The 10,687-nt window shown below is 48.8% G+C and overlaps 1 annotated feature.

The window, feature by feature from the left end:
- Positions 1-500: an enhancer, noted in NCBI's record as "H3K4me1 hESC enhancer chr10:79963019-79963518 (GRCh37/hg19 assembly coordinates)". NCBI's record gives its function as "activates a minimal SCP1, AML or CMV promoter by ChIP-STARR-seq in naive H9 embryonic stem cells {active_cell/tissue: H9 hESC(naive)}" and the evidence as "EXISTENCE:reporter gene assay evidence [ECO:0000049][PMID:30033119]".

Below are 10,687 nucleotides of genomic sequence, written 5' to 3'. Positions count from 1 at the left end.
CGACAGCGAGAGGGCATTTCAGGCACAAGTGACAGCAAAGGCTTGGAGATGGAATGTTCCATCGCACAGAATGCTTTATCTTTGGATAAAGCATTATCCAAATGAGGGCCAGGTGCTAGGATGCCAGGATGGGGGCAATGACGCTGAAGAGGTAATGAAAGTACTGGCCATACTTCCAGAACATGCACAGGGCAGGTGCTGGACAGGTACTGGGTAACCGGCACAGCGTTACCCAGCCCTCATCACAGACTAGGGTGGAGAATGGATTCTCACCCATCTTTCAGGGAGAAGCTCCAAGCTCAGAGAGGTGAGTGCCTCGCCCCAGGCCAGCTGCAGAGCTGGTCAGGGTAGAGCAGGGTTTGGGTCCAGGCGATCAAGCCCCAGTCCTGCTCTCTCTTCCGCACTATCCCATCCCCACACCAAGGGCAGCACCGAAGAACATAGGTTGGAGAAGCAGAAACCGAGGTGCAGAGGAAAGGAAGGGGCGAGGACAAGGGCACAGCAACATGAGGCCACACCAGGACTCAGTCCCTGCTCCGGCCTCCCATCTTGGGAAAAGGGGTAGGGCTCCCTAGAGGCCCACTGTGGTCCATGTGCCAGTGTGAGGTGATGGGGAGGGTGCGGGGAGCAGGCCAGTCACAAGCAGCTGGGCCCACTGTTAATGTCATTCCTGGGGTGATGATGAGTGATGCAAAGACCCAGGCAGTGGCTTGAAAAGATGATCCCATCCCTGCAGAACTGCCCCTGTAGGGAGAGAAAGGGTCCCTGTCCCATGTCAAGCAGGGAAGCTGTATCATTCATTCAGCTGACATTGTCTGAGGCCCTGCTCTGAGCTGGCCCTGGGCCCACCAGCTATGCAGCCTTATCCAAGCTCTTCCCCTCTCTGGGCTTCATGAAAGGGCTGGACCAGATCCTCTCATTGATGCATACATATGTGCATTCTCTCCTTCCTTCATTCATTCACCAAGGGCAATATGGACCACAAAACCCAGGCCCTACTCTCAAGATACCCAAGGCTCCCTTTCAGCACCAAGAGTTCAGGTTTCCCAGTGCACTGAATACAGCCCAGCCTGCAGGTCCAGAGACAGAGACCTGGGTTTCTGTTCTGCCTGCCCTTGACTTCCCACATGACCTTGTTTTATTCTCACATTCCACAGACATTTACTGCACGCCTATTACGTGCCAGTCCTGGGCCCTGGGGCAAGCGTTAGTCCACAGAACAGTCACAGGTCCTGCCTTCCAAGAGCCTTCGCTGACTGGGGAGACAGACTACACAAAAAGAAACAAGTAGCCTCCCTGCTGAACCTCAGTTTCCCCAACCTTACAGTGAAATAATGTCAGGTGGGGCTGATGAAGCATGTACTATGTGGCAGAACAAGATGACACCAGCAGCCAGTGACCCTCTATGCCTCTAACTTGATGTGGAACCTCAGGAAAGACCCTTCACTCCTCTGGACTGCGGTTTTCTTATCTGGCAAAATGCGCATGTTGCATTTCTGTATCCAGCTAAAAAATATGTCATCTATTCTTCATCACCTAAAAGCAAACATGGATTTGAGTACAGGAGGTCTGAACCCTGCCCACAAACTCTTTCATTGATCCCTCCAGTCTCATCTCAGCTGCTCATCTGTGATCCCCAAATCTGAGCCCTCACTACTCCCTCTGATCACTCCTGCCTCTGGACGTTCATGCATGCTGGTTTTCCCAGCCGGAATGCCCGTCCTTCAGCTCTTTTCTCTGCCTGGGTGATCCTTTAAGGTCCAGCTCCGAGGCAACCTCCTCAGTTAACTTTCCCAGCTCCCACTTTACCCCAGACAGAAAGAGATTCCTCCCTGGTGGTTGGTCAATTTGTTTTCGCTTATTTTGAAATAAAAGTTTTAAAAATGCCTATGATAAAAATTTTGAACTGTTCATAAAGATGTAAAATAAAAAGATCTCTCCTTCCAAACCTCTCTCAATAACAAAACTATCTCCTGCTAATATTTTGTGTTCTTCCAGAATATAAAGACATATATGTGCATATACAGTAATAATAACAGCCAAAGAGGTCTTATTCTGGCCCCAGCTCTTTTCATGCTCTCTCTATATATTAATGCATGAGATATCACAGCAACTCTATGATGAGACGCTATTATTAGTTCCAGTTTACAGCCTAGGTAATGACTCCCAGAGAGGTTAAGTGACTTGCCCAAGTCACACAGTGGGTAAGTGGCAGAGCCAGCGTTCACATCAACCCATGCTTTCACTTGTCTTTTATACACAAAATGTGTTCATACACACTGCTCTGCTCCTTGCTTTATTTTGCTGAAAATGCATCTCTGAATCTCTCCATATCAGCACATATCTCCATATCTGCCCCATTCTCTCCTAGAGCCGTTGGCATGGAAGCACCATGTCTCACATACTTACGCCCTTCTGATGGACATTTTGGGGTTTCTAGTTGCTGCTGCAAACAATTTTGTAACCCTCAGGCTTGCATCTGTATCCTGATGCACTTCTGCAAACTCATCTGTGGAATGTGGCCCTGGAATACCTGGGCCAAAGAGCATGAAATTTTCAAGTTTTGATAGATGTCGGGGGTGGGGGGCAGGTTTGCATTCTCACCAAGGCTGATGTGCCCATGGTGTGCGTACCCACTTCTAGGATGCCCAGGTTGGGTGTTGGCCCATCAGGGTCCCCTCCCCAAGCTGAGCTCACTCATGGAGGAGCTAGCACTTGTTCTCCTCCAGAACACATGGATGGAGCTGTGGAAGTGTTTGAAGGAAGATGAGGACCTTTTAAGGAGAACCATCTGGAGTCAGTTTCATGCAACAAATGGCAAGAATTTTTTTGGCACCTACTATATGCCCAGTTTTGGTATATAGGAGGCAGAGATCAACCAGTGTTCCCAAACTCAAGTGCCTGCTGGGGCCAGGCAGGTGGCACAGAGGAGAATAATATGGGCTACGTGAAGGGAGGCTGGGAGGGTGCCACAGCTCTGTGCCAGCCAAGAGCTGCCAGGCAAGAACGCGGGGTGGGGAGCCAAATCTGACCATTTTTCCAGAATGCCAGAAATCTGGATATTTAGGTGAATTTATCCTGACCACAGCCGAACACCTGGCACTTGAGGACTCCATAGTTATTAAATGAATAAAAGAAAGAATAAATAATTCCAGGCTGGGCAGGGTGGCCCATGCTTGTAACCCCAGTGCTTTGGAGGCTAAGGCAGGAGCATCACTTGAGGCCAGGAGTTCAAGACCAGCATGGGCAATATAGTGAAGTGACCCTGTCCATACAAAAATAAACAAATAAAATTAGCCAGGCATAGTGGTGCGCACCTCTAGCTCCCAGGTACTAGGGAGGCTGAGGCAAGAGGATCACTTGAGCCCAAGAGTCCAAGGCTACAGTGAGCTATGATAAGACCGCTGCACTCCAGCCTGGGCAACAGACTAAGACTCTGTCTCTTAAAAAAAAAATAAGTGAATTCAAAAAATCAACCTCAAAATATGGAGGAATATTCATCTTGTTTCCCCATCCTACCTTCAGTAACCTTCAAAAAAGCAAGGATCATACCTTACTCCAAATATGTGTCAATTATCCAAAATTACTTAACTGTAAGTATGTGTGATTAGTCTCCATGGTTCCATATTGCGGGTGATCAAGACTGATATGCACCACGGTGCCATGCCCAGGTTTGGACAGTGGGTTTGCTGATCCTTCCTCAAGCATCACCACCCCAGGAGACCTGGGGCAGAACAAAGAGTGCCTTCAAGGTTTACCTTCCAAAGGTGCAGCAAGAAGCCCTTGAGGCTGAGAGCCCAAGAGCAGGCAGGAGCTGGACAAGCTGGGGCAGAGAGAGGGCAGTGACAATTTGGACACACTCCAAGAGGAAATCACCTGGGCTGGGAGCAGGAGCACCCAGGGAGCCTGGAGCTCAGCCTCCATGGAGCTCCATGTCCCCAGGCAATGCTCTTTGGCTCTCAGTGCCTCAGTTTCCCCACCTATAAAGGGCATATTTACCATAACCATGTAAGTTATCAAACAAACCAAGAGCTATTTATATATTTAGGTTAAACCATATGAACTTGTTATTTGGTCCATCAAAAACATTTAAATATTGGCAGCAGCACTCAAACCAACCTCAGAATATCTCCAGGACATTGGGCATAAATCAGGACTATCCTGTACAATCCGAGACATGCAGTCACCCCATGGCCCGTGACCATGCCAACTGCTTTTCCCCACTTATTTGCAATCCAAAGCCCTCCTTCTGCCCCCCAGCCCCTCTGTCATTAGGCTGAGGTATAAAGATTAAGTTAATGGCGGGCGGAGAAAATCGGCTTTGTTGGCAAATTGTCTCTGATATTTATTTTGAACATTAAAACGAATCATTCGGACTAAAGAGGGCTCTAGTGCGTGGCCCATTAAAATGCATGCATTATGTATAACTCTCCCAGCTTCACCTCCAAGTATTATCAGCCTAAAAAGCAAACATGGTTTTTAAAGCCCCTTGTTTACGACATCCCATGACAGCTGATTAATGGCCACACTTTGGAGATCTGAAAGCTTAGTAACCCAAGCTAGAAAATTCAATCTTATTCTAATATAGATGGTTGGGGGGGCGGGAAGAGGAGGGGGGAGTGCAGCAAAATAGGAACAGAGCAGAGCTCTTCAAAACAGATCCAAGCAGAGAGCCATAATCACAGGAGCAGTATGAGCTGGGGCTTCTCACAGGGCATTGTCTGCGTTTCTTAGGGCTGCCACAGAAAATTACCACAAACTTAGTGGCTTAACACAACAGAAATGCAACCTCTTACAGCTCTGGAGGCCACAAGTCTGAAATCAAAGTGTCAGGAGCACCAGGCTCCCTCTGAACGCTCCAGGGGAGAACCGTTCTTTCCTCTTCCAGCTTCTGGGGGCTCCTGGAGATCCTTGGCTTGTGGCTACATCACTCAGATCTCTGCCTCTGTCTTCATTTCCCTTCCTCCTTGTGTCTCAGCATCTTTTCTGTTGCTTATGAGGACACTTGTCATTGGATTTAGGGACCAGCCTAATGCAGAATGATCTCACCTTGAGATCCTTACCTTAGTTGCATCTGCAAAAACCTTTATTCCAAATAAGGTCACATTCTGAGGTTCCAATAGACAGAACTTGTGAAGGGACTCCATTCAACCACCAACCTGCTGCAGGTTTCTTCCAGCTCCCAGCATGGCCCTCCTTTTCTTACGACAGTCTTGGGACCAACCAGGCCTGCAGATTCTACCGGATCCAAGGAAACTCAGCCATCTATTCACACTTGCGCATCCTCCCTGCCACCTCCTTAACTCTGGCTTCAGCCAACCTCAGCACTAATGTCTCTGCTGCGTCACTCACCCCCTTCCAGTGTGTCCCTTTTAAGGAGCCCATCTGGTCCTGTTGCTTCTCCTCTTGGCGACACAATTGCTACCATGGCATCTTACACTTCGCCTTCATAGCCTCTTGCAGCACTTCATTAGTAGAGTTCCTTGTTTTGTCAACACTTACATGTTGGACTGTTATGGCTAGCCTGACCAAATCCCTCCTGTAGCAGTTAAAAAACTCCACCCACCAGGCACAGCCCTGCATGATGGGTCCCGCCTCTCCATCTCAGCCTCCTCTCCTTCCCTCCTCTCCCCTGATCACTCAATGGGCTCCAGCCACAGCAGCCTCCTTCTATTCCTTCAGAATGCAAGCCCAGACCTACCTCAGGGCCTTTGCACATGCTGTTTGCTCCACTGGAAATGCTCTTTCTCCAAATCTTCCCCATCTGGCTTAGGTGCACCAAGCAGGACTCAGTTCAAATGGCACCTGCTGGGAGAGGCCTTTCCTGACCCTCTTTCCACCAGTCCCCAGACCAATCACTCTTCCCCTCTTTTGTTATCTTCATTGCAATTGTCACTGTCCCAGGTCATCTGGCACCTCTGGTTTCATTTTCATTTTGGTTTTGGTTGCTTTCTGATTTATTCTCTGTCCTCCCCAGCTAAAAAAGTAAGCTTTCTGAGGATAGGGACCTTGACTATCTCATTCTCTACTCTCTCCCCGTGGCCTAGGATGCTGCCCCATCACCTCTGCCATCTGTTGGATGAGCAATGAGTGTTTGTCTTCCACAAATTCTATAAACTCCATGACAGGATTAGTGTGATTAGTGTGTCTGTGTCCCTGGAGCCTTGCTCAGTTTCCAGGACAGAGCAAGCTCTTAATAAATTCACTGCCTGTAGCTCTCTCTGTGTTACAGGTGAGAAAGCACCCTTTGGAGAACTTCTAAGATCATCCAGGTTTTCATCTAAAGGCAGCACTGTCAGCTTCTCTCTCTCTCTTTCTCTCTCTCTCTCTCACAAATACACACACACACTCTCTTTCTCATACACACAGTCTCTCTCTGTCTCTCTCTCACACACACACAGTCTCTCTCTGTCTCACACACACACACTTCTCTCTCACACACACATACACACACTGTCTCTCAAAAACACACACACAAACACACACACATTCTCTCTCACACAAACACACATGCACACACAGTCTCTCACACACACACATACACAAACTGTCACTCACACACACACACATACACACATACACACACACATACTCTGTCTCTCTCTGTCTCTCTCTCTCTCCTTGGAAGTCCCCTACATTTATTCACATGTTCATTTTGCAACATTTACTGTGCGCTTGCTGTGACTCAGGCTCTACTCTGACCCTGGAGGTGCGATGCTGAGCAAGCCAGTGCAGCCCTACCCTTGCAGAGCTGACATCCTGGTGGAGACACCCCTTTTTGTCTGTACCTATCCTAAACCATCTCTGGCAGAGCAGCAAAACACATCCCTTTTCTAAGTCTTAGTTTCCTTACTGTCTGATGGGGGCAAAATCTAACCTATCAGGCTGGAAGCCCCAGGGCCAAATATGAGATCTGAGAAATTATTTTGGAAAGGAGAGGCCCCATAGTGTCTCTAGCCTGTCCCTTTTCCTAGTCCCCCTCTGCTCTCTGACTACACCCTCTCCTGTCTCTGCCCATGTCCTAGTGTCCCCATTAGATGAACAGACCTGAACTCAAACCCACCTCTGTGTGCGAACATAAAAAAAATCACCTAGCCTTGCAAAGCCTGCACTTCCTCGTCTGCAAGATGGAGATAATATTGTCTACACACCGGTGTGGGAAGGATAGAACGGGACATGCTTCATAAAGTTCCTGGCAGTCTCCAGGCACTCAGTCATGTTTCTGCTCCCCTGGAATACCCTCATTCCTCCAACTGCCTAATGCCTGCCCATCCCTCAAAGTCCAAGCCAAGTGCCTCTCTTGAGAAGCCCCCTGACCCCCTTCCTGGAGTCCCTCACATGCCCACCTTCTGTCCACACTGCCCAACCCTGTTAGCCACTCTCCGTTTTCCTCCAGGGCACACGTTTGGAGCAATAATCAGACCAGTCCTCAGCATCCCCTACAGTGCCTGATGCTGCTGGACATCACTGATGTGCCCCGGCAGGGGCTCAGACAGAATTTTGATTCACATTTGCTCCCTGACCACCTACTCCCACCAGGCACTGTGCCAGGTTCTGGGGGCACAGCAATGATGTGGTTTCCAAGCCAAAGGCACTCACATCTAGGAAAGACACAGACACACTAGCAAACCCCTCCCGTGCAGTGTTGCACAGGAGAAATTGGGAGGCCTTCCTAGAAGAGCAGAGCTTTCAAGGAGACTTTCTTGGCTGAGTGAAAACATTCACTGTATCAATGTGTTCCTGGAAAGGTTCACAGGGATTAGCGTTTCCACTGGCATCTACCGTCAGTCCACGAGTCCTTAATCCTGACTTCTTAATTGGTGACGGCTAGGTTCTGGTTGTCTGGTCCCTGGTTCTTGATCATGTAATTTAAGATTTGTAAACACACAAATGGGATGGAGTCAGAGACTGTTTACTTCTGGGACCCTTCGTGCCAGTAGGAGGGTTGCTGACCTGAGTCACCCCTTCCTTACTAGGTTTGTTTGAAAAACTAGAATTGTATTGCTTATATATTTTCCAAAACACTCAAAAGGCAGAATGTTTGTCTTGAAAGCTCTTTCTTATCCAGTAAGAAAATATTTTATCCACACATCAATGTCATTTTCCCCATTTGTTGGAGAGGAAGCTGAGACAGAGGGAGGACTGACGGGCCCAGGTTTCCCCAGTGGATCAGTGCTGGGCCAGGACTAGAACCAGGCGCCTGTTGTGCAGCCCAGGACTCTACCTGCATCCTCTGCCCTCACACCAGGGCCCCTGGGAGAGGAGGCATTGCTGTGGGTTTGTCTTAATCAACTCTTTCCTGCCTCCCTGAGAGGAAGGCCTTCTCCCTTCCCAGCCAGTGGGGAAGAGCAGCCCTTCCACCTTCTGAAGGCCAGGGAGGGAGGCGAGGTGGCGCTGAGGGATGAAAGCAGAGCTCCCAGGGAGGTCTGTGAACTGATGGAGGGTTGGTGCCACTGTGCTTGGGAGGCAGTCATTTAGCTTAATAACTGTGAATTGGGGGCTGCAGCCATGACACAGCCATCCCCGGCCCCCCACAGGGAGACTGCTGAGCTGAGCTCTTAGCAGGGCCACCCCTCCCAGGGTGCCCTTTGTGGGAAGAACAGCAATTGCCTGCTTTTGATGTCTGTTCTTATCTAGTCACTGGAGCCGCAGCCCTAACAGTCATCTCCTGGCGCCTGTCCCAAATGCAGGAGCCATTCCTACCACCCCTGCTGGTCCCTGCAGGCCCCAGGGTCTGTGTCGTCAGGATGTGCCACAGTGCTGGCCAAACTGGGTGCAGCTCCAGTGGTGCAGGCTCACATGCAATCTGCCCACCAGCAGAAGAATGACAGCAGCCAGGTGGTGAAACCAGGGCCCTGAGCATAAAACCCAACCTCCTGGGCTGGCACTCGAGATTTTGCCATTCTCCAACCCCAGCCTGGCTTCCAGCAGTCCTGGCTATGCTGTTCTCCTTGTCTAGAATGCCGCAGCCCTTACCCACTGCCATATCCAAGCCCTCTATCAAATCCCAGTCCTAGAGTCTGCCACCAGGAAGCCTTCCATGATTGCTCCAGGCCGCCAAGCTGTCCCTCTCCTGTGAATGGCAATAAAACTTTCTATCTGTCCCACTTACTTCAGACTTATGACATACATGTCTTATTCTCATTTCGTTAGTTATCTTTCATGTAGGCTCACTGAATGCTGACCTGGGCTGTAAGCTCCAGGGCAGCAGGGACTCTGTTTGATTCTCCTCTGAGACCCCAGGGCATTGCATATGTCTTATCACAAAGTGGTACTCCACATATATTTGCTGTTTGCCTCAATTGGGCAGATAGGCCCTGCCAATTTAAACTCAAAGGAGAAAGATTGTATAAATTCGTCCACAACTGAATTCTAGGATGTCTACAAAGAAATGCAGGTTATTTCTTTTGTGCACATGAACAGAGACTTACCTCATGCCTCTTTCTAGAATCCCCTACCCATTTTTCCACCTGGAGAACTCCTGATCTACCCTCAGTGCCCAGCTTGAACATGAGTCTCTCTGGGAAGCCTTCTTTGAATCCTCCAGGCTGACTCATCACGTCCTTTTTACGACCTACAGAAAAACCTGCATTTGAATTCTGTTATGGGCTGAATTGTGTTCACCCCAAAAGACGTGCAAATCCTAGCCCTGGTACCTGTGAATATGACCTTATTTGGAAATAGGGTTCTTGCACATGATCAAGTTAAGATGAGGCTGTTAGGGTGGCTTTAATCTAGTGTGACTGGTGTCCTCGGACTCAAAGACAGAAACACATAGAGGGGAGACAAGGTGAAGACAGAGAATGCCGTCTACAAGTCAAGGAGTGCCTAAGGCTACCAGAAGTCAGGGGAGAGGCATGGAACAGATTTTCTCTCAACCCTCAGGAGGAACTGAACCTTCTAACACTTAGATTTCTGACTTCTGGTTTTCAGAACAATGACACAATACATTCCTATTGTTTAAGCCTCCTAGTGTGTGGTACTTTTGTTATGGCAGCCTTAGCAAACTCATACAAATTCTGCATTTGCCTCTTACTAGCTGGTTGACCCTTGGCAAGCTACTTAAATCTCTGAGTCTCGGTCTCCTCTTTAAAACGGGCATGGCAAATCTCCTTCAAGCCCCCTTCTCTTTTCCCATCATCACACAACGAACCTACATTCCCAGCAACCCTTGCAGGTAGGTGTGGCCAGGTGGTTAAGTTCTGGCCCATAGACCATGGGGTAGAAGCCATGTACCCAGCCCAGCCCAGAAACTGTCCACACAGTCCTCCACACTCGCTCTCACTTCTTCATCTGCAGGCAGAGAACCATGTGGCCCTGGGAGGTGGCAGAGCTACAAGATAGAAAGAACCTGGGCCCCTGATTGACTGCAAGGAGGCTCCCCCTGTGGAGTACTATATTGAACTAGTTCATAAAATGCTGAGGTTTATGCAAAAGCTGTTAATATACTCTAATATAAATATTAGTCATGTAATAGTCTCATGAGCATCAGAAATGTTATGGTAGGCAGTTAATACCATGTTTTTAATATTTTTATATTTGAACTGCCCCACCACCTAACACAAACCAGCACAAAATAGGGTATGAAAAATGCTCACTGAATTTTTGTCAGTTAAAGAGCACTGCCATGGATGCAACTGGCTGGGGCTGGTGTGGCAGGCACTAAAGGAATTCACCAAGACAGTCA

The sequence above is a fragment of the Homo sapiens genome, chromosome 10 (assembly GCF_000001405.40).
Source record: "Homo sapiens chromosome 10, GRCh38.p14 Primary Assembly".
NCBI classification, from domain to species: Eukaryota; Metazoa; Chordata; class Mammalia; order Primates; family Hominidae; genus Homo; species Homo sapiens.
This window is presented reverse-complemented; position numbering and strand designations above follow the sequence as displayed.